This window comes from Homo sapiens, chromosome 14 (genome assembly GCF_000001405.40).
Source record: "Homo sapiens chromosome 14, GRCh38.p14 Primary Assembly".
NCBI classification, from domain to species: domain Eukaryota; kingdom Metazoa; phylum Chordata; class Mammalia; order Primates; family Hominidae; genus Homo; species Homo sapiens.
Window position 1 is genome coordinate 63,610,556 of NC_000014.9, and position 24,490 is coordinate 63,635,045.

The 24,490-nt window shown below is 41.5% G+C and overlaps 1 protein-coding gene and 2 pseudogenes across 10 annotated transcripts in view; 2 read left to right on the top strand and 1 right to left on the bottom strand.

Moving 5' to 3' along the window:
* The window catches only part of WDR89 (WD repeat domain 89), a 44,833-nt gene that overhangs the window by 13,517 nt on the left and 6,826 nt on the right, over positions 1 to 24,490 (bottom strand). For 7 of the 10 annotated variants that reach the window (NM_080666.4, NM_001382424.1, NM_001382427.1 and 4 more), the window contains one exon: positions 14,373 to 14,478. The gene's annotated coding sequence lies outside the window, so the exon portion shown is untranslated. Of the gene's footprint in view, positions 1 to 11,140; positions 11,175 to 14,372; positions 14,479 to 18,714; positions 19,067 to 24,490 lie in introns of all 10 variants that reach the window. The other 3 variants (NM_001382423.1, NM_001382429.1, NM_001382425.1) reach the window with 2 other exon arrangements.
* RNU6-597P (RNA, U6 small nuclear 597, pseudogene) lies at positions 7,488 to 7,589 on the top strand (annotated as a pseudogene).
* On the top strand, positions 20,123 to 20,226 carry RNU6-1162P (RNA, U6 small nuclear 1162, pseudogene; annotated as a pseudogene).

The following is a 24,490-nucleotide window of genomic DNA, read 5'->3' on the forward strand; positions in this document are numbered from 1 at the left end:
CAATATGTCATGTTCCTATCATGAACCCCCGGTATGATGTGATAAGAAAGGCATTTCATTCACCTCTGTTATGTTATTCCCCACAGTCTAATCATGAGAAAACCTCAAACTAACCCAATTTGAGGAATATTCTTTTCTTTTCTTTTCTTTTTTTTTTTTTTTTTTGAGAGGGAGTCTCACTCTGTCACCCAGGCTGGAGTGCAGTGGTGCAATCTCGGCTCACTGCAACCTCCACCTCCTGGTTCAATCAATTCTCTTGCCTTAGCCTCCTGAGTAGCTAAGATTACAGGTATGCACCACCACACCTGGCTAATTTTTGTATTTCTAGTACAGATGGGGTTTCACCATGTTGGCCAGGCTGGTCTCGAACTCCTGACCTTGTAATTCGCCCGCCTTGGCCTCCCAAAGTGCTGGGGTTATAGGCATGAGCCACTGTGCCTGGCTAATTTGAGGGATATTCTACAAATACTTGGCCAGTACTCTTCAAAAGTTTCAAGATCATACCAGGCACAGTGGCTCATGCCTGCAATCCTAGCACTCGGGGAGGCTGAGACAGGCAGATCTTGAGGCCAAGAGTTTGAGACCAGCCTGGCCAACGTGCTGAAACCCCATCTCTACTAAAAACACAAAAATTAGCCGGGAGTGGTGGCACACACTTGTAGTCCCAGCTACTAAGAAGGCTGAGGCATGAGAATCACTTGAACCCAGGAGGCGGAGGTTGCGGTAGACAAGATTGCGTCACTGCACTCCAGCTTGGGCAACAGAGCCAGGCCCTGTCGCAAAAAAAAAAAAAAAAAAAAAAAAGCTTTAAGATCATGAAAAAGAAAGAAAGACCAACAAATCATCACAGATTGGGGGAGATCATGATGATGTGATGATGAAATTCAATATGGTATCCTTGATTAGATCCTGGACTAGTAAAAGGACATTCATGGAAGACCTGGTGAAATCCAAATAAAGTCTGTCATTTAGTTAATAGTATTATTCCAATGTTAATTTCTTAGTTAATAGTATTATTCCAATGTTAATTTCTTAGTTTTGACAAATGTTCCATGGTTATGTTAACATTAGGGAGGCTGGGTGAAGGGTATACAGGAACTCTGTACTATTTTTGCAACTTTTCTGTAAACCTAACATTATCCCCCCCAAAAAAAAATTTTTTTTAAATTTTTATTTATTTTTATTTTTTGAGACAGGGTCTGGCTCTGTCCCCCAGGCTAGAGTGCTGTGGTGCAATCTCGGCTCACTGCAACCTCTGCCTCCTGGGTTCAAGCAACTCTCCTGACTCAGCCTCCCGAGTAGCTGGGATTATAGACGTGCACCACCACGTCAGGCTAATTTTTTGTATTTTTAGTAGAGATGGGGTTTCACCATGTTGCCCAGGCTGGTCTCGAACTCTTGAGCTCAAGTGATCCGCCCACCTCAGCCTCCCAAAGTGCTGGGATTACAGACATGAGCCACCGTGCCTGGCCAACAAAAAATTTTTAACATATCATTGATGTTTATAGTTCTAGACAGAAAAATATTTCTGGTACTAACACACTAGGAATGTCCCAATGCTGAAAAGCCCTTCGGTCAAACTCATCTCTAGACCTGAGATGATTCTAGCAGGCCAATCAGGACTACCACCAACAATCTCTGCCCTAGTCACGTCCCTAATCTAGCTTCATAATAAACTGGAAATTATACAGCAGAGCCAACAGAATCTCTTTCCATATGCCAATATCCCCTTCCCCAAAGCAGTACTAAGGAAAGGTAAAAATAAAATTTCAAGTTTTTTTTTTTTTTTGAGACGGAATCTCCTCTGTCGCCCGGGCTAGAGTGTAGTGGTGGGATCTCTGCTCACTGCAACCTCTGCCTCCCGGGCTAGAGTGTAGTGGTGGGATCTCTGCTCACTGCAACCTCTGCCTCCCGGGTTCAAGCGATTATCCTGCTTCAGCCTCCTAAGTAGCTGGGATTACAGGGGTGCACCACCATGCCCGACTAATTTTGTATTTTTTGTAGAGACCGGGTTTCGCCATGTTGGCCAGGCTAGTCTCAAACTCCTGACCTCAGGTGATCCATCCGCCTCGGCCTCCCAAAGTGCCCCAAAGTGTTGTAATCCCAACAAGCAAGAGCCACCATGCCTAGCCAAGTTTCAAGAATTCTCACGAATACTCCCAAATTTGGAAAGAAGCAAACTGAGGGAGTTGGTAGGCAACCTCAAAAAATCTCTCGAAAGTAGTAAGTACTCCTACTTACTACTGCAGGAGCTCAGCAAAGGAATGAAGAGTTGGTAGGGCTATTTTCTAATGTCTCCAGGCTCAGTTTGGGAAATGAGAAGCAGCCCGTAAGAGTGGAATATACCTGGGACTTGTTGGAATGGGATTTGGTATAGGACATTCAATGGGATCTCAGATGAAAGGACAGATTCCAGGTCCCCCAGCAAGGACTGTGTCAGCCCCAGTATGTCATTAGTTTTTGCCAGTGGAAGCAATTTATGCTACAGTTAGGGTAGGATTAAGAGGTAATGGGTTTTCTCCACCTTTTCTTTGCTCATCTGCTGGCTCGATGGAGAAGACTCCTTGGTCCTACAGGATGGTATAGCCATAAAATGAAAGGAGTCGCAGCCTACCAATCACCAGATGAAAGGCTATCTGCTGATCAGGAAAACCTACATTTGGCTGCATCAGTCAATCAGCGGTGAACAGATCTGAAACATGTAGTTTTAAAACTCCAAATCTGCTTGCAGAGGTGGCATCCTGTAACTTCTTAGGGGACAAGTGAGAAAAAAACCCAAAAAACTCCAAAACACAATGATTCCAACCTCTTAATGTTATTCATTGTTTTAAAAAACTTAAAGTAAATTTCAAGAGCCAGAAGCTCTTGTATTAAAATACCTAAATTTTAGTCATTTCTTTCATACTATTTATTTTTTGTGTATTCCAGCTCTTTTTTATACTGCTGAATTTTTTTTTTTTTTTTTGAGACAAGAGTCTCACTCCGTTGCCCAGACTGGAGTGCAGTGGCGTGATCTCGGCTCACTGCAACCTCCACCTCCTGGATTCAAGCAATTCTCTGCCTCAGCCTCCCGAGTGGCTAGGATTGCAGGTGCCCACCACCATCCCAGCTAATTTTTGTATTTTTAGTAGAGATGGGGTTTCAACATCTTGGCCAGGCTGGTTTTGAACTCATGACCTTGTGATCCACCCACCTTGGCCTCCCAAAGTGCTGGGATTAGAGGTGTGAGCCACTGCACTCGGCCACTGCTGAAATTTTTAAACATCTTTTTTTTTTTTTTTTTTTTTTAATACAAACACGGTCTCACATACTTGAACTCCTGTATGTAAGCAATCCTCCTGCTTTGGCCTCCCAAAGCGCTGGGATTATAGGCATGAACCACCACGCCCAGCCTATTACTGAAATTTTAATGATGATGACAACCTCATGACAATCCCAAAGTACTAGTATATCCATTTTACTGATGAGAAAAGCACAGCTAATATGCAGTAAATCTAGTTTCTGAATTCAGGCATTCTTATTCCAGAGCCCATGCTATTAATTCCTATACTATACTGTCTCTATATAAGCATGTAGCATATTAATCTTTTTAAGGGGGGAGTATTAGCAGAGCCACATGGAAGCAGTAGCTGCTAATGTGTAAAGTGACAAGGCCAGGGGCAAACCTGAAAAATCTACTGGCAGCCACAAAAGCTTTATACGAGACATTCAAGTAGCTTAATATTTATCAGGCATATCCTTTCTTTTCTTTTTTTCTTTTTTTTTTTTTTGAGACAGGGTCTCACTCTGTGGCCCAGGCTGGAGTGCAGTGGTGCAATCACAGCTCACGGCAGCCTTGACCTCCCTGGCTCAAGCAATTCTCCCACCTACCTCAGCCTCCCAAGCAGATGGGACCACAGGCACATGTCACCACACCTGGCTATATTACACATATCTGATGTCAGCTTATCTAAAGCAAAACTGCACAGGAGAATCTTAACAATCTGGTTATTAACATTTCAGAGAAAGAGGGAAGAGTAAAATAGGAACAATCACACATATGCGTTACCAGTATGTCCTAGAGGAAACAATACCTTGGGATAAAAAGCATACACTGGTTTAATTTCAGGAGAATCGTTTCCAGAAAACATTTATAATTTAGAGAAATGTATGTGTATGTTTTAAACTAACACAGAATTAGCTCTAAGACAATTTGCCAAAGAGCCATTTGTTTTAAATTCAGAAGAACTGCTGAATATTTAGTGGAAGGTATGCTAAACTGACATCTGCTACAACTCTAATATAATTTTAAATTTCACATTCATTAATGACTAAGACAATGTCTCTGTAAATTAATCCTGCTTAGCTAGTCTGAATATGGTATTCTTATTCACATAAACGTCCAAGATAGTGGTTGCAGCAACATATGGCATCCCATGCATTAAATACATTAAAATTCTCAGGAAAAGCACAATTTTTAAAGTACAGGAATCTGTTACTAAGGAAAAGGGGGAGGACTGGGAGGAAATGACACATACTTTCTCATGCAGTGTGAGATTATGCTGCAGGTTCCAGATATAACATTCAAAGCATCTTTTTAAAAACAAAAACATTTTCCTCAATAACATCCTGAGATGTCCAGTTTTGCATGTAAATCTTGCATCCAAACGTCACCCTTTACGGTAATTCCACAAATGCCCAGAATCTTTCAACAAGAACAATTAACTGCCTTTTTCCTTTCCAGAACAACCAGCTGGTTAACCAAACAGAGAAACCAAATTTCCCTAAGTCACCAGATGTCTTAATTTGGAACAGTTAGAAGCAATTCGGAATAATCTAATTCTTGAATTGGTACTACATGTTTACTATTTCTTCATTTTCTAATTTTGAAAAGACGCTTTTAAGAATTAAGCAAATGCTATCTTTAATAACTGCAAAAAAAATGAGGAAAAACAAAAAGAACCATATCCTGTTACAGAATGATGTTAACATTATCTAAGAGCCAGCTACTTAAATCTTGGATACATTATAGTTAGAAACTGATAAGCTCTAACAACATTAAATCTGCTCTAAAGTTCTTAAGAATTACCCTACTCAAGAATTCAAAAACAGCCGGGCCCAGTGGCTCATGCCTGTAGTCCCAGCACTTTGGCAGGCCGAGGCAGGCAGATCATGAGGACAGGAGTTCAAGACCAGCCTGGCCAACATGGCGAAACCTGTCCCTACTAAAAATACAAAAATTAGCCAGGTGTGGTAGTGTGTGTCTGTACTCCCAGCTACTCAGGCGGCTGAGGCAGGAGAATCACTTGAACCTCAGAGGCAGAGGTTGCAGTGAGCTGAGATGGTGCCACTGCACTCCAGCCTTGGCGACAGAGCAAGACCCTGTCTTTAAAAAAAAAAAAAAAAAGAATACAAAAACAATTCTTGGCCAGGTGCAGTGGCTCACACCTATAATGCTAGCACTTTGGGAGCCTGAGGAGGGTGGATTGTTTGAGCCCAGGAGTTTGAGACCAGCTTAGGCAACATGGCTAAACTCCGTCTCTACAAAATTTAGCTAATTTTTGTATTTTAGAGCTAAATGTACAGGGCGTGGTGGCCTGGTGGTAGTCTCAGCTACTTGAGATGCTGAGGCGGGAGAAGCACCTGAGCCCAGGGAGGTTGCAGCTGCAAGTTGAGCTGTGATTGCGCCACTGCACTCCCGCCTGGGTGACAGTGAGACTCTGTCTCAATACCAAAACCAAACCAAAGAAAAAAAACAATTCTGGAAAGGTTATGACATGACAGGCCTAGAACATAACAAATTCAGCAAAGAACAGTCATGAAGTCCCTTTCTTCATGCAGGACAGGATAGAAGGAGATAGGTGGAAATACAGCCCAATAACTAATTATAATAATAAAAATAGTGAGGAGTGTTATAAAAAATAACAACATAGGGTAAGGCAAGAAAAATGAGGCAGGAAAAGCCATTTCTATTCAATCATTAAAGGAAACTTCCCCCATGAGGTGACATTTGAGCTGAGACCAGGACAAAATGAGGGAGGCAAGGGAGTGGATTACATGGAGCAAGAGCTGCCTAGGCAGAGAGAAACAACAAGTAGGCCAGTGCAGCTAAAGTCAGAGAAAGAAAGAAGGGTGTAGAAAATGAGGCTAAAGAGGTAACTGGAGCCAGAGGAGAGCTCCATCGGTCATGGTAAGAACTTTGAATTTTATTCTCAAGTGAGAAAGAAAGCCACTGTAGGCTGAGAGCAGGTAAGAGACACTGAGAATGGGTTCCTTGGGCTGCTGCCTGGAGAACAGACTAAAGGGCAAGAGTATAAGTAGTTAGTTTAGAGGTTTGTGCAAAGTTCTGAGAAAGAGTTCTAACAGAAGTGGCTGGATGTAGGTCACAAATATGAAAGAATTTTCTGGTAAAACTGCAAGTGGTGTGAGAGAAGGGCAGTCAAAAATGATTCTTGTCTCAAAAAAAAAAAGATTCCTAGGTTTCTGGCTTAAGCAGCAAGGTAAATATGTTGTTGGTATATTATTAATACTTTAATTACAAGCTTTTTTTTTTTTTTTTTTTTGAGACAGAGTTTTGCTCTTGTTGCCCAGGCTGGAGCACAATGGCGCGATCTCGGCTCACTACAACCTCCACCTCCCAGGTACAAGCGATTCTGTCTCAAGCCTCCCAAGGAGCTCGGATTACAGGCATGCACCACCATGTCTGGCTATATATTTTTTGTATTTAGTAGAGATGGGGTTTCACCATGTTAGTCAGGCTGGTTGCAAACTCCTGACCTCAGGTGATCTACCAACCTCAGCCTCCCAAAGTGCTGGGATTATGGGAATGCGCCACTGTGCCTGGCCTAATTACAAGCTTTTAAGATAAGATGATTAACTGGACAATTTGATAATTATCCAGTTGCTTATACAGGCCTTACTGATAAACTGTGGTATGTTAATACAATAGAATTCTCTTTTTTTGTTGTTTTTTTGAGACCAAGTTTTGCATTGTAACCCAGGCTGCAGTGCAGTGGAATGATCTCGGCTCACTGTAACCTCCCAGGTTCAAGCGATACTCCTGCCTCAGCCTCACAAACTGCTGGAGTTACAGGCACCCACCACCACGCCCAGCTAATTTTTGTAGTTTTAGTCGAGACGAGGTTTCACTATGTTGGCCAGGCTGGTCTCAAACCCCTGGCATCAAGTGATCCGCCCACTTCGGCCTCCCAAAATGCTGGTATTGCAGGCATGAGCCACTGCGCCTGGCCTAGAATTCTACATAGCAATAAAAAACATGCAACTGGTACATGCAACAATGTGGATGAATCTCAGAATTGGTTAGATGCCTGACACAAAAAGGTACTACAGGATTTCATTTATACAAAGTTTTAAAAAAGGCAAAACAAATCTATAATGGTAGAAGTAAGAATACTACTTATTTTGGGGGGAGATAGAAACTGAGAAACAGAACAAGAATTCTAGGTGGTGATTATGCTCAGATGCATACATTTAAAAATAAAACCATGGTGCTCGCTTCTGCAGCATATATACTAAAATTGGTACGATACAGATTAGCATGACCCCTGCACAAGAATGACATACCAGTTTGTGAAACATTCCATATTTTTAGAGGGGTGTGTGTGTGTGTTAGAGAGAGACAGGGTCTCACTCTCTGTCACCCAGGCTGGAGTACAATGGCACAATCTTGCCTCACTACAATGTCAGCATCCCAGGATCAAATGATCCTCTGGCCTCAGCCTACCAAGTAGCTGAGACTACAGGTATGTGCCACCATGCCTGGCTAATTTTTGTATTTCTATAAGAGATGGGGTTTTGCCATGTTGCCCAGGCTGGTCTCAAACTCCTGGACTCAAGCAATCTGCCTGCCTCAGCCTCCCAAAGTGCTGGGATTATAAGCAGGAGGCAGTGTGCCTGGCTTGTAGGCGTATTTTAACAAAGAAGAACATTCAGACAACAGGAAAGAATTCTTGGAAATTAAGAATAAGAAAGCAGAAATACAAAATACACAGAAGAGCTAAAAGATATGGTTAAGGAATACTCCCAACTAAAGTAGAAGAAGAAAGAGAAAGAATGAAATCAGAGGATTGATCAATCAATCTAAGTCAAACATCCTAAAAATGAAAAGTCCAGAAAGAAAAATAGAAAAGAAAAAAACAAACAAACAAACAAAAAAAACCTGAGTCTTCAGCAAAAAGGATAGCAAAAGAAAGCCATACCAAGCCACATTATCTTGAAATGTCATAATGCTGGGGATAAAGGAAAGATTCTACAAGTGTCCACGGAGAAAAGGGGTCTCATAAAAAATCTGAAGAATCTTAACGGCATCAGACTTCTCAATAGCAACCCTCGGGGAAAAAAGGAATAATGCCTTGAAAATTCTGAGTCAAAATTATCCCTAACCTGGAGTCTTTTTAGCCAGTCAAGTTAACAATGAAATGTGGGTCTAGGTCAAGTTAACAATGAAATGTGGGTCTAGAACAGAGATATTTTATGTGTGCGTATTTTTAAAAATCATGGAGCGAATGCCTCCCTACTTCTGCCAAGCCTTACGCTGTGGAAAGAGCACCAACGGTCGGCAGGTGGTGGGGAAGAGCATGGAGAGAAACCTCCTGTTGGGGCCTGCTGGGACTGAGTGGAGCAGCAACAAGGAGAAAACTCTCCAGCATCCCAGGCCTGACGCTAAGCACAAGATAGTAACAGCTCATAGCTGAAGGAATTTGAAGTTTTTGGTATATAAATGTTAACTATAGTAACACCAAAACCCAAACCAGGCTAGACTGTTCAAGCCCCAACACTCACAGTCTGATAGAAGCACAGGTATCCATTTCCAAGGCTAAATGCTATTTAGCTTAGTCTCTACTATTCTTCTATACATGATGTACAGAATGCAATTTTAAAGAGACAGAGAAATACCAACAAGTTATCAAGAAATGAGGCAAAAAACAGAAAAAAACCCAGAGAACACTCAGATATATACTATACACCTACTAATAGTGTAAGTACACACTCCCACTGCTTCACTTGACAAGGCTTAAAAGCAAACAAAAAAACTAAAATAATTATGAATTGGTTATTTTTAAGCACCCCTCAAAACAGAAGACAACAAGTATTGGCAAAAATGTAAAGAAACTATAGTACAGCCAAAATGGAAACCAGTATGAAGGTTCCTAAAAAAATTAAAAATAGGCTGGGCACCGTGGCTTACGGCTGTATTCCCAGCACTCTGGGAGGCCAAGGCAGGAGGATCACTTGAGGTCAGGAGTTTGAGATCAGCCTGGCCAACATAGTGAAACCCCATCTCTAGTGAAAATACAAAAATTAGCTGGACATGGTAGCACGTGCCTATAATCCAAGCTACTCAGGAAGCTGAGGCAGGAGAATCACTTGAACCTGGGAGGCGGAGCTTGCAGTGAGCCAAGATCGTGCCACTGCACTCCAGGCTGGGTGACAGAGCGAGACTCCATCTCAAAAAAAAAAAAAAAAAAAAGAAAAAGAAGAAATCAGTATGTCAAAGAGATATCTGTACTCCCAGGTTCACTGCAGCATTTTTTCACAACAGCTAAGATATAGAATCAATCTAAGTGTTCATCAGTTGATGAATAAAGAAAATGTGGTATAAAAATACAAAAATTAGCCGAGCGTGGTGGTGTGCACCTGTCATCCCAGCTACTCGGGTACACATTTGTGTACATACACAATAGAATACTACCTCAGCCTTAAAAAAGAACAAAATCCTGTCATTTGTGAAACAGGGATAAATTTGCAGGACATTATATTATAAACTAAAGCCAGATATAGAAAGCCAAATACCACATGATCTCATCTAGATGTGTGTATATATACAAACGTACATATCTATATGTGAAATCTAAAACAGTCAAACCCATGGAAGCAGACAGTAGATAGGTAGTTAATCAGGGCTGGGGAGGAGGGAGAATCAGGGAGATGTCGATCAAAGGGTATAAAATTTCACTTGGAAAGAGGAGTAAGTTCAAGAGCTCTACTGTATAATATGGTGACTACAGTTAGTAACAATGTACTGTACATTTGAAAATTGCTAAGAGGGGGCAGGCACAGTGGCTCATGCCTGTAATCTCAACACTTTGGGAGGCCAAGGCAGGCGGACTGCTTGAAGTCAGAAGTTTGAGACCAACCTGGCCAATATGGTGAAGCCCCATCTCTACTAAAAATAAAAAATAAAAATAAAAAAATTAGCTGGGCATGGTGGCAAGTACCTGTAGTCTCAGCTACTCAGGAGGCTAAGGCATGAAAATTACTTGAACCTGGGAGGTGGAGGTTGCAGTGAGCTGAGACTGTGCCACTGCACTCCAGCCTGGGTGACACAGCGAGACTCCATCTCAAAAAAAAAAAAAAAAATTGCCAAGAGTTGCTAGGAGAGTAGATTTTCAATGTTCTCACCACACCCAAAAAAATGTATGTAAGGCAGTGGGTATGTTAATTGGCTTGATCTAGTCATTCCGCAATGTATACACATATCAAAACATCTTGCTGTACTCCATAAATATATACAACTTTTATTTGTTAATTAAAAAATACATTTTTTTAAAAAGAATGTGAAGAAACTGGAACCCTTCTATATTGCTGGTGGGAATGTAAAATGTAGCAGCCTCTGTGGAAAACACTTTGGCAGTTTCTCATAAAGCTAAACATATGTTCGTGCAAAAAAACTTATACATAAATTTCATAGTAGCATTATTATTATTGGAGACAGAGTCTCACTCTGTTGCCCAGGCTGGGGTGCAGTGGCACAATCTCGCAATCTCGGCTGGCTACAACCTCTGCCTTTTGCAGCACTTTGGGAGGCTGAGGCAGGTGGATCACCTGAGGTCAGGAGTTCGAGACCAGCCTGACCAACATGGTGAAACCCCATCTCTACTAAAAATACATAAATTAGCTGGGTATGGTGGCAGGCACCTGTAATCCCAGCTACTAGGGAGGCTAAAGCAGGAGAATCGCCTGAACCCAGGAGGTGTAGGTTGCAGTGAGATGAGATCACACGATTGCACTGCAGCCTGAGTGGCAGAGCAAGACTCTGTCTCAAAAAAAAAGAATTACTACAGTCTTCGCATCAAAAACTATGCAAGCCAGAGGACAAAGGAATGATAATTTTAAACACCAAAAGGACAGAAAAACCTACCAACACAAAGCTCTGTACCCAGCAAAAATGCCTTCTGAAAAAGAGTATAAAAGAAAGACTATCAGTCTGGTCCAAAGGCAGTGAGTTATCCCAACTGATTGCTCACAGTCAGTTACAGGTCAAACTCCCTGTTCCACTCTTCCCCTCTTCTCACTACTGCACTTGACTAGTCTTCAAAAAGACAAACAAGAAATACGATCAGAAAAACACAAACTGAGAAGATTCACTGCCAGCAAAACTGTTGCTGTTAAACTGTTATTCAGGCAGAAACAGTATGATAACAAATTGAAATCCGGATTGACATAAAGAAATAAAGAGCACTGGGAATGGTAAACATGAGGGTAAATATAAGACATTTTTTCCTTTTAAATTTTTCCTTGAAAGATAATTGCTGTCTAAAGTAAAAACTAGTAATAACAAACCAAGGGATTTATGACAGGTCAAAGTAAAGTGCACCAGTCAGATGCGGTGGCTCATGCCTGTAATCCCAGCACTTTGGAAGGCCGAGGTGGGTGGATCACCTGAGGTCAGGAGTTCAAGACTAGCCTGGCCAACAAGGTGAAACCACGTCTCTACTAAAAATACAAAAAAAGTAGCCAGGCAGCCGGGCGTGGTGGCTCATGCCTGTAATCCCAGGACTTTGGGAGGCTGAGGCGGGTGGATCACCTGAGGTCAGGAGTTCGAGACCAGCCAGGCCAACATGGTGAAAGCCCTTCTCTACAAAAATACAAAAAAATTAACTGGGCGTGGTGGCACATGCCTATAATCCCAGCTACTTGGGAGGCTGAGACAGGAGAATCGCTTGAACCCAGGGGGTGGAGGTTGCAGTGAGCCGAGACCATGCCATTGCACTCCAGCCTGGGCAACAGAGCGAGACTTCATCTCAAAAAAACAAACAATCAAACAAACAAAAAAACCAAAAGTAGCCAGGCATGGTGGCAGGTGCCTGTAATCCCAGCTACTCGGGAGGCTGAGGCACAAGAATTGCTTGAACCTGGGAGGCAGAGGCTGCAGTGAGCTGAGATTAGCTCACAGCACTCCACCCTGGGCAACAGATCAAGACTCCATCTCTAAATAAATAAGTAAATAAATAAAATGCATGACAATAATAGTGACAGGATGAGAGGAGGGAAGTGGAAGGATAATGTTGTACAATTCTTACACCATAAAATGGTATCACATTATTCGAAGCTAGATTTTAACAAGTCAAAAAGGATATAATGGGCCAGGCACAGTGGCTCACGCTGTAATCCCAGCACTTTGGGTGGCCAAGGTGGGTGGGTCACTTCGACCTAGGAGTTCGAGACCAGCTGGGCAAAATGGCAAAACTCCATCTCTACAAAAAATATAAAAATTAGCCAGGCACAGTGGCAGGTGCCTGTAGTCCCAGCTACTCAGGAGCTTAGGTGGGAGGATAACTTGAGCGTGGGAGACAGAGGTTGCAGTGAACCCAGATCGCCCTATTGCACTCCAGTCTGGGTGACACAGAAAAACCAGGTCTCAAAAAAAAAAAAAAAAAAAATGCATATAGTAAACCCTAGACTAACCACTTCAAACAAACAAACACACAAAATATTAAACAGTAAATTCACAAACCAAAACCAATCATAGAGAAAAAGTACCCAATCAAAAAGAAAAAGATGAAAAAAGAAATAAAGAACTGATGAGAAAAACAGAAAATATAAAAACAACTGGTAAGAAGGTAGATTTAAATCCAACTATACCTGGCCGGGCATGGTGGTTCACGCCTGTAATCCCAGCACTTTGGGAGGCTGAGGTGGGTGGATCACTTGAGGTCAGGAGTCCAAGACCAGCCTGGCCAACGTGGTGAAACCCTGTCTCCACTAAAATTACAAAAATTAGCCGAGTGTGGTGGCATGTGCCTGTCATCTCAGCTACTTGGGAGGTTGGGGCAGGAGAATCTCTTGAACCCAGGAGGCGGAGGTTGCAGTGAGCTGAGCTCACACCACTGCACTCCAGCCTGGGAGACAGAGTGAGACTCTGTCTCAAAAAAAAAAAAAAAAAAAAAAAAAAAATCCAACCACACCAACAATTACATTAAATAAAAATAATATGACACCTTATTTAAAAGACAGAGATTGTCAGGATGGGGGTGGTGGGGAGAGAGAAGCAAGACCCAACTATATGCTATCTGAAAGAAACCCATTTTAAACATAAAGCCATAGATAGGTTAAAAGGAAATGGATAGAAAAAAGATATACCATGCAAATATTAATAAAAAGAAAGCTGCAATGTTTTACTAATATGAGACAAATGAGAAGTCAGAACAGAGAATATTAACTCAAAATGGATCATAGACCTAAATGTAAAAGCAAGAACTACAAAACTTATAAGAGAAAAAAGGGAATCTATGACCTTTGGTTAGGCAAAGATCTCTTAAAACACAAAAAGTACAAACCACAAAAGAAAATTTTGACTTAATTAAAATGTAAAACCTGCTTTTGAACAGTCAAGAAAATGCAAACTACAGGCCAAGCATGGTGGCTCACGCCTATAATCCCAGCACTTTGGGAGGCCTGGGAGGTGGATGGCTTGAGTCCAGGAGTTCAAGATCAGCCTGGGTGACATGGCAAAACCCCATCTCCATCAAAAATACAAAAATTAGCCAGGCATGGTGGCGCATGCCTATAGTCCCAGCTACTCAGGAGGCTGAGATGAAGAGGTCACTTTAGCCCGGGAGGTGGAGCTTGTAGTGAGCCGAGATTGCATCACTGCCACTTCAGCCTGGGTCACAGAGTGAGACCCTGTCAAAAAAAAAAAAACCACAACAAAACAAAAAACAAAAAGAAATATTTAAAAAAAAAAAAAGAAAATGCCAACTACAGACTGGGAGACCATATTTGCAAATCACCATCTGATAAAGTTGCTATATCCAGAATATATAAAGAATTCTTGCAACCAAATTATAAGACAAATAATTCAATTAAAACATGGGAAAATATTTGAACAGACACTTCACCAAAGAAGATATATGAATGACAAATAAGCACGAGGAGCCCAATAATATTAGTCATCAGGGATATGCAAATTATATTAATAATTACCTATTATTACACATTTGCTAAAATGCCTACAATTAAAAAGAACTAACAATACCAAGTTCTGGCAAAAATGCAAAAGCAACAGGAACTTTCATACACTGATGGTAAAATGTTACAGCCACTTTGGAAACTGGTTTGGCAGTTTGTTTAAAAGTTAAATACATACTTACCCAGCAAGCCCACTTTTAGGTATTTACTCAAGAGAAATGACAACTTATGTCCGTACAAACACCTGTACACGTGTTCATCACTATTTTATTTATAATAGCCAAATACCTAGAAAAAAACAGAAATACGGGTAAGCTTAAGCACAAAAAAATAAACAACAAAGACTCTCCCTCCCCGAGAAATATCTGTCATCTGCTGAAGGGAAAAACAAATTGTGGCATACATATATAATGGAATCTGACTCTGCAAGAAAAAAGGAACTAGAGATATATGTAACATAAAAGCGTATATATTGTATGATTCCATTTAAATAACATTCTGGAAAAAGCAAAATTATAGGAACTGGTTGTTAGGGGCTGAGGTTGTGGGGAGGCCATTGATTATTAAGGGGCACAAGGAAACTTTTTGGGTGATGAAAATATTCTGTATCTTAATCAGGGTGCTGGTTACACAACTGTGTATTCATCAAACTACATACTTACAATTCATCAAACTACATACTTACATGTCAATTCATCAAACTACATACTTACAAAGTTTAAAAAGGTAAATTTTATGGAATGTAAATTACACTTTAACAAACCTGATCTCCCATGCCCAAAGGCAAACAAAACATAAAAAGTCATAGGCAAAACTAATGTATGATGATGGAAATTAGAATGGTGGTTATCTTTAGTGGGAATGACTGGGAAGGGGCATCCAAGAGGTTTCTTGGGTGCTGGTACCGATTTGAGTGTTGGTGGCACAGATGTCTTCTGTTTGTAAAAGTTCACTGAGCTCTACCCTAGATTTGTAGACCTTACAGTAGTTATATTTTAATAAATAAGTACAAATAAATAATTAGTGCTATTTTAACTGCTCATTGTAGAAAATGTGGAAAATCACATTTTAAACACAAAGAAGCAAAACATACAATTTTGGAGTAGAAGAGGACTTTTTTTTTTTTTTTGAGACAGTCTAGCTCTGTCACCAGGCTCGAGAGCAGCAGCGTGATCTCAGCTCACTGCAACCTCTGCCTCCCGGGTTCAAGCGATTCTCCTTCCTCAGCCTCCCAAGTAGCTGGGATTACAGGCATGCACTGCCACACCCAGCTAATTTTTGTATCTTTAGTAGAGATGGGGTTTCACCATGTTGGCCAGGATGGTCTCAATCTCCTGACCTCGTGATCCGCCCACCTTGGCCTCCCAAAGTGCTAGGATCACAGGTGTGAGCCACCACACCCACCCATGAAGGTAAAAAGTGAGAGACCTGATTAGACAAAAACATAACTAAAATAAGGTAAAACGTATTAAAAATATAGTTAAAATTGAAATTGGAAGAAAATTTTCATAACACACTATCAAAGGTTAATACCCTTACTATGCAAGAAATTTATCCAAACAAAAAATAATAGCTAAAAGAAGCAGTAAGTCATAAAAGGGAAAATTCTAATGAACAAGAAACGTAAAAAGATGTTCAACCTCAGCCGGGCGTGGTGCCTAATGCCTGTAATCCCAGCGCTTTGGGAGGCCAAGGTGGGCAGAACACGATCACATGAGCTCAAGAGTTTGAGACCAGCCTGGCCAACATGGCAAAATCCCATCTCTACTAAAAATACAAAAATGAGCTAGGTGTGGTGGTGCACGCCTGTAATCCCAGCTGCTTAGGAGGCTGAGAGGCATGAAAATGGCTTGAGCCCGGGAGGCAGAGGTTGCAGTGAGCCAAGATCACACCACTGCATTCCAGCCTGGGCTACAGAGTGAGACTGTCTCAAAAAAAAAAAAAAAAAAAAAAAAAAAAAAAAAAGTTCCGTCTTACTAACAGTTGAGGAAATAAGATGCATTTTCACCTATCAGGTTGGCAAAAATTAAAAACACTGATAACATCAAGGCTGATGGGGTGTCAGGAAATGGGCATCTGTAAACATTCTAGGTTGGGCACAGTGGCTCACACCTGTAATCCCAGCACTTTGGGAGGCCAAGGCAGGAGGATCACTTTGAGACCAGGAGTCTGAGACCAGCCTGGGTATCACAAAGAGAACCCGTCCTTACAAAAAAAATACAAAAATTAGCTCGGTGTAATGGCGTATACCTGTAGTCCCAGCCACCCAAGAAACTGAGGTCAGAGGATCACTTGAGGCTAGGAGTTCCAGGCTGCAGTGAGCAATGACTGTGTCAACGCACTCTAGCTTAGGTGACAGAATAAGACTTTGTCTCTAAACACACACACACACACACACACACACACTCTCTCTCTCTCTCTCTCTCTCTCTCTCTCTCCTCTCTAAATGTTAAACTTTTTGACAAGTATTCTGGTACTATATAATAAAACTAGAAGTATGTGTCTCCTTGAATCCAACAATCTCCCATAAGCATCTATCCAAAATTAAATATATGCGTATGTAAGGAAGGATATTTATTAAAGAATTGTAATAACAAAAAAACCTAACAGCCTGAATATCCATTAATTGGGAAGTGGTCAAATTAGAGTATTGCCACATAAAACAACATTAAGTAGCTTTTATAAAAAAATTAAAGTCCATAGTTTACCTTAGGGTTCACTTTTTGTTTTGTACAGTTCTATAGGTTTTGACAAATACATGTAATGAATCCATCATTATATAACTGTTTCACCACCCTAAAAATCCTGTGTTCTGCCTATTCATCCCTCTGCTCATCCTGAACCTTTATCAACCATTTATCTTTTTACTCTCTCTCTAGTTTTGCCTTTTCCAGAATGTCAAATGGTTAGAATCATAAAGCAAGTGGCTTTTTCTGGTTTCCTTCACGAAGGAATAAACACATGGAGTTCCTCTATGTCTTTCAGTGTCTTAAAAGCTCATTTCTTCTTATAAGTGAGTATCACTGAATTAAATTTCACTGTATGAAAAAAAAAAAATTCAGCTGGGTATGGTGGTACATGCCTGCAGTCCCAGCTACCAGAAAGGTGAGGTAGGAGGATCGCTTGAGCCCAGGAGGTCGAGTAGAGAAAGTTATTTCAATACTTGACTGGAAATTTTAGTAACTTTTTTGATTAAATTTCTCTAATAGGCTGAGCACAGTGGCTCACGCCTGTAAGCCCAGCACCTTGGGAGGCTGAAGTGGGAGGCTCCCTTGAGCCCAGGAGTTTGAGACCAGGCCAGGCAACATAGCGAGATTCCATTCTCTACAAAAAGTTTAAAAATCAGCCGAACGTGGTGGTGTGCACCTGCAATCTCAGCTACTTGGGGGAGCTGAAGAGGGAGGATTGCTTAAGCCTGGGAGGTCGAGGCTATGCGATCAATCAGGTGAACCATGATCACTCCAGTCCAGGCAACAGAGCAAGACCTTGTCTCAAAAAAAATCTAAAATAGTTTAAAAACTTAGTTTCTTTTTTAGAATTTATAACTGTACTCATAAAATATCTGATGAGAATTTTCGCTGACCAAAGAAATGCTGTAATTTTGTTCTAACAGTTTTACTGAGTTGACTGTTATTCTTAGGCTGCAACATTCATTCATCATTTCAACTCAGCTATAAAGAAATATATAACAAGAAAATTGGCAAGCTCTATGAAGAAAAATAAACCAGAATTTAAGGTATGTAACGTGATGATAATAGATGAGATGGGGTCAAGATCTTTTAGATAAGATGGCTAGGACAGACCCTAGAGATGTAACATTTGGGGAGACAACCTAATTTAAAAAGTGAGCAATGCAAATCTCTGGAGAAGTAGCTGTGATCCTAGCAATTTGATGTCAACCTTAAGAAAAAGAAAAAAATAATAATAAAGGCCACTGGCCGGGTGCGGTGGCTCACGCCTGTGATCCCAACACTTTGGGAGGCCAAGGCAGGACTGCCTCAGCCTAGGAGTTTGAGACCAGCCTGGGCAACATGGTGAAACCCTATCCCTATCAAAAGTACAAAAAATTAGCCAGGCATGGTGACGTGCATGCCTGTGGTCCCAGCAACTTGGGAGGCTAAGGTGGGAGGATTGCTTGAGTCTGGGGGCACCTATACTCCAGCAGCCTGGGTGACAATGTGAGACCCTGTCTCAAAAAAAAAACAAAAAACAAAAAACGATGTTTGCCTGTAGTAAGGACTTTACACAAACTCTTATTAGTCAAAGTTTGAAATACCAACTCTCCATCCCTGGTGATGTCCTAAAATGTTCTTCCCTTCATCACTTTCTTGGGTTGCCTTCTCCTTGAATCCCACTGCAACCCAAGCTTAGTAGAATGTTTAATAATTAAACATCAGTGTTAGGCACTCTTCTAGGTGCTAGAGGGACAGTGATAACTAGAACTTGATTCTGCCCTCAAAGCATTAGTGGATTTAAGCAGAACATTTGTCCCTTTCCATTTTCAAATATTAATTTTGCATATACCAGATCAAGTCTTTAGTATAATCACTTCCAGATCTTTAACTCCAAACTTCATCTCTTTATTCTCTTTCTGAAGCTCTTGTATTCTTAAATGCTTGCTACATGTGCTGCCAGAACTTAAAATTCAGATTATCCAAAATTTACTTCATTAGTTTCTCTCTTCAACCCATGCTCCCAATTTCCATGAATGATAGCAAAGTCTGACAATCAGTGGTTCTTCCTTTCTCCCTCAGGAACAGTTTACTTTCTTGACTTAGCGTTCAGGATCTTCCACAGTCCACAATGTCTGTTACTCATGTCTGGTCACTGAACATTTTCATATGCTGACTATGAGGACAGACAAGCATGAAAAGTACTGGAAGCAAGGGAAGAAGAGAAAGTTTAGTATTGCTGATCATAATGTGTGATGTTGGATGGGAAAGGAGACGACATTGAAGCAAGCAGCAGGGCAGGTCTTAGAGTTGTCTATCTTGTATACCCAACTAAAACGTCAAACTTTATTTTTTTTATTTCTTCTCACAGAACCAATTCGGTAAGAAAGGAGTTAGAACATTCAGTGTGTTACAGGGAATGACTAAAGCAGTATCTTATTTTTACCTACAGCAGCTACGTTAAACTATTTGAATAAATAAATGAATTGGAAGGGGTCGGTAGCAAAAATATTACATATTCAGAGTCATAAACACATTTTTTTTTCTTGAGATGGAGTCTCGCCTTGTCACCCAGGCTGGAGTGCAATGGCGTGATCTTGGCTCACTGCAACTGCTGCCTCCCAGGTTCAAGCGATTTTCCTGTCTCAACCTCCCAAGTAGCTGGGACTATAGGCATATGCCACCATGCCCGGCTAATTTTTGTATTTTTGGTAGAGACGGGGTTTCCCCATGTTGGCCAGGCTGGTCTCGAACTCCTGACATCAGGTGGTCCACCTGCCTCGGCCTCCCAAAGTGCTGGGATTACAGGCGTGAGCCACTGCACCCAACCCAGAGTCACATATTAAATTGCTCACATTTACAATGTAGAAGATGGATTTAAATAGGGAGAGGTAAGGCTGAAGGTTGGGAGACCATAGAGGCCATTAAAAAGTCCAGACAAGGGGCTGGGCGCGGTAGCTCACGCCTGTAATCACAGCACTTTGGGAGGCCAAGGCGGGAGGATCACCTGAGGTCAGGAGTTCGAGACCAGCCTGGCCAACATGGTGAAACCCCGTCTCTACTAAAAATTACAAAAATTAGCCGGGATGGTGGCCCACGCCTGTAATCCCAACTACTCGGGACGCTGAGGCAGGAGAATTGCTTGAGCCCAGGAGGTGGAGGTTGCAGTGAGCCAAGATTGTGTCATTGCACTCCAGCCTGGCCGACAGGGCGAGACTCTGTCTCACAAAAAAAAAAAAAAGTCCAGACAAGGATACGGAGTGCTTGCTTTGGCAGCACACATACTAAAATCAGAAGGCCACAGAGATGAGCATGGCCCTTGCACACGGATGACATGAAAATTCATGAAGTATTCCATATTTTTAAATGTATTGTCCTTTTTTTTTTTTTTTGTGAGACACAGTCTTGCACTGTTGTCCAGGATGCAGTGTAGTGGCACAAACACAGCTCATTGCAGTCTCAATCCTCCCACCCCAGCCTCCTGAGTACCTGGGACTACAGGTGATGCCACCATGCCCCAGCTAATTTTTTAATATTTTTTTTGTAGACACAAGGTCTCACTATGTTGCCAGACCTGGTCTTAAAAAATCCTCTGGCCTTAGCCTCCCAAGTGCTGGGATTATAGGTGGGAACCACTGGGCCCAGCCTGTACTGTCTATTTCAAAATAGATAGGAGAGGACTGTTGCATGTTCTCACCACAAAGTGATCAACATGTGAGATGACGGAGACACTAATTAACTTGATTTGATCATTACACGAAGTATACGTATATCAAAACATCACACTATATCCCAGAAATATGTACATTATGTGTCAACTAAAAATCAAACTAAAAGAGATAATGGAGTTCCCAACAGTAGGAATGGAGAAAAAAGGCGAATTTGAGAAATATTTTTCTTTTCTTTCTTTTTGCTTCTATTCACTGTGAATACTGTATTATAGTTTGACTATTTATTTATTTATTTGCACAGAGTCTTAACTCTGTGGCCCAGGCTGGAGTGCAGTGGTGCAACTGCCACTCACTGCAGGCTCAATCTCCCAGGCTCAAGCAATCGTGCCACCTCAGCCTTCCAAGTAGCTGAAAATACAGGTGCACACAACCACGCCTGGCCAATTAAAAAAAAAAATTTTTTTTTAATTTTTAGTAGAGATGAGGTCTTGCTATGTTGCTCAGGCTGTTCCTGAACTCCTGAGCTCAAGTGATTCTCTTGCCTCAACCTCCCAGTCTCTTGTACCTGGGATTACAAATGTGAGCCACCACACCTGGCCAGAGAAATATTCAGCAAGTTAACATTAGTGAAGCTTGGCACTGACTCGATTTGGAAGCACGGGGGAGGAACAGGTGCAGAAGGAATCCAGGCTGATTCTTGCATTGGATGACCAAGCGGAGTTGAGTCAGAAAGTAAATCCAGGCCAGGTGCGGTGGTTCACGCCTGTAATCCCAGCACTTTGGGAGGCCTAGGCAGGCAGATCACCTGAGGCCAGGAGTTTGAGACCAGCCTGGCCAACCTGGCGAAAACCCGTCTCTACTAAAAACAGAAAAATTAGCCGGGCGTGATGGGACACGCCTGTAATCCCAGCTACTTGGGAGGCTAAGACAGGAGAATTGCTTGAACCTGGGAGGTGAAGGCTGCAGTGAGCCGACAGTGCACCACTGCACTCCAGCCTGAGCAACAGAGGGAGACTCTGCCTCAAAAAAACAAACAAACAAAAAAAAAACTAAAAACAAAAAAAAGTAAATCCAAAAATCAAGAAAATGGGGGGAAAAAAAACAAAGAAATGCCCTTAGTTTTACTCATATAAGCCTGAGGGACTTCTGGGGATGGCCAAGGACAAACATTTGTATACATCAGTCTACAACTCAGAGGGAAAGTACGGGATTCTGTTATCAGACTATAGGAAGTAGCAGCACTTAAAAACTAGGAAAGTAGGCCGGGCGTGATGGCTCCTGCCCCTTATCCCAGCACCTTGGGAGGCTGAGGTGGATGGATCATCTGAGGCCAGGAGTTCAAGACCAGCCTGGCCAACATGGTGAAACCCGTCTCTACTTAAAAAAATACAAAAATTAGCCAGGCATGGTGGCGCAAACCTGTAGTCTCAGCTACTAGGGAGGCTAAGGCACGAGAATCAATTGAACCCGGGAGGTGGAGGTTGCAGTGAGCCGTGATCACACCACTGCACTCCAGCATGGATGATAGAGCAAGACTCCGTCTCAAACAAACAAAAACCCAAACTAGGAAACTGGATGAATTATACAGATGAATTATACAGAATGATAGCAGATGAATTATACAGAATGATGGCAAGCAGCAGGCCAAGCACCCTATAATAGAGAAAAATGAAAAAAGAATGGGAAGAAAACCAGAAAAGTAGCCAAATGACAGCTAATATTAACTGATCATTACCATTCTCGGTTACCATGTCAGCCTCTGCACATGAATTGCTTCAATGAACCCTCCCAATAATCCTAAAAGATAGTCCTTTTATTACAGTGTTTTAGATGAGGAAGCTGAGACAGGTATTGCATGATAGCTGAGAATGGGTATAGAGTCAGACTGCCAGAGCACAAATCCTGGCTTTACTAACTATATGTTTCAGTTTCCTGTAGTTTAAACAGGAGATAGCAATATCAATGCCATAGGGTTTCATAAATTAATTACCATGTTAAATGGTGCCTGGCACAAAAGCAGCACTCATATACCACTAGGTGGGAGTATAGAGAATGTTAAAGAAATGCAATATGTAATGTCAAATGATAACCTGCAGAATAAACTAGTATTTGACAGGATTTCCACCCCTTTTATGTATAAATATGTGTGTAAGTATATATATATATTTATGTATGTATATAGACTAGATGCTTCTAAGGTGAATTCACAATACAAATGTTCCCCTAAAAATGCTACCCTAATTCATCAAGCAGAAAGACACTTTAACATATTAATGATTTTTAAAATTTCCACTGTTAATTGGTAGATGAAATAAGATTAAGCCAGAATGAGGCTTTTCCTGACACTGGATAGTTTATAATCATGTAAACATATCTCTCAGACAATAAAGCAATATTTTATAAATATTTATTGACAGCTACAGACTTTGTTTTGCATTTTGAGGTTGATTCACTATTTAATTTTCCAAATTAGGAGACCATTCAAAAGGACTACGTTGAAATAGAAATCAAAACACATCCCTAAATGTAAATATTTATAGCTTGTATAATATTCATGTAAAGATATAGCAGAACTAGTTCTTTTAACCACTTTGGTGTTATAATGAGGGAAGATCAGAATCTACTAAGTTCTAAACTCATTTCCTCTCTACTGAACACAGTAAAAGACCCTGATATCAGAGAAATAACAAACAAAAGGCATAATTATTGAACTATCCAGAAAAAAACGGATATTAAGAGGATAAAAAGTTCACATGTGCTTTGTAGATCAGATGTGAAGGATAAAAAGAACTGAAAATCATGTACGGTCAGTTGCAACTTCACTAAACATAAGAATTAGACTTAAGCTATCAAACCGTTTTAAAAGTTTCCTTCCTGGCCCTTGGCATTGATTACTACTGCCATCTAGCAGGAGGTCCAAAAATTAAAATTACGAGAACTGTAAAAAATCATCAGGACATAATTCCAATCTCCAAATAGAAAGATGTTTACCATATTAATAATTACTTAAATTTCAGGCCGGGCACAGTGGCTCACACCTATAAACCCAACACTTTGGGAGGCCGAGGCAGGTGTATCACTTCAGTCCAGGAGTTCGAGACCAGCTTGGCCAACATGGCGAAACCCTGTCTCTACTAAAAACACAAAAACTGGCCAGGTGTGGTGGCTCACACTTGTAATCCCAGCACTTTGGGAGCCCAAGGCGGGTGGATCACCTGATGTCAGGAGCTCGTTACCAGCCTGACCAACATGGTGAAACCCCTTCTCTACTAAAAATACAAAAATTAGCTGGGCCTGGTGGTGGGTGCCTGTAATCCCAGCTACTCTGAGGGATGAGACAGGGAGAACTACTTGAACCAGGAGGCAGAGGTTGCAGAGAGCCAAGATCGTGCCACTGCACTCCAGCCTGGGCGACAGAGCGAGACTCCCTCTCAAAAAAAAAAAAAGAGAAGTGAAGGGAGAAATATTCAGGGAAATAGATAGCTTAAAGAAAAAACAAGGCTGAGCACAGTGGCTCACGCCTGTAATCCCAACACTTTCGGAGGCTGAGGCAGGCAGATCACCTAAGATCAGGAGTTTGAGACCAGCCTGGTCAATATGGTGAAACCCCATCTCTACTAAAAATACAAAATTAGCCAGGCATGGTGGCACATGCCTATAATCCCAGCTACTTGGGAAGGCTGAGGCAGGAGAATCGCTTGAACCCAGGAGGCGGAGGTTGCGGTGAGCCAAGATCGCACCATTGCACTGCAGTCTGGGCAACAAAAGCGAAACTACATCTCAAAAAAAAAAAAAAAAAATTAGCTGGGCATGGTGGTGCGTGCCTGTAGTCCCAGCTACTTCGAAGGCTGAGGCAGGAGAATCGCTTGAACCTAGAGGCAGAGGTTGCAGTGAGCTGAGATTGTGCCACTACACTCTGTCTCCAAAAAAAAAAAAAATGGATTCACAGCAGAATTC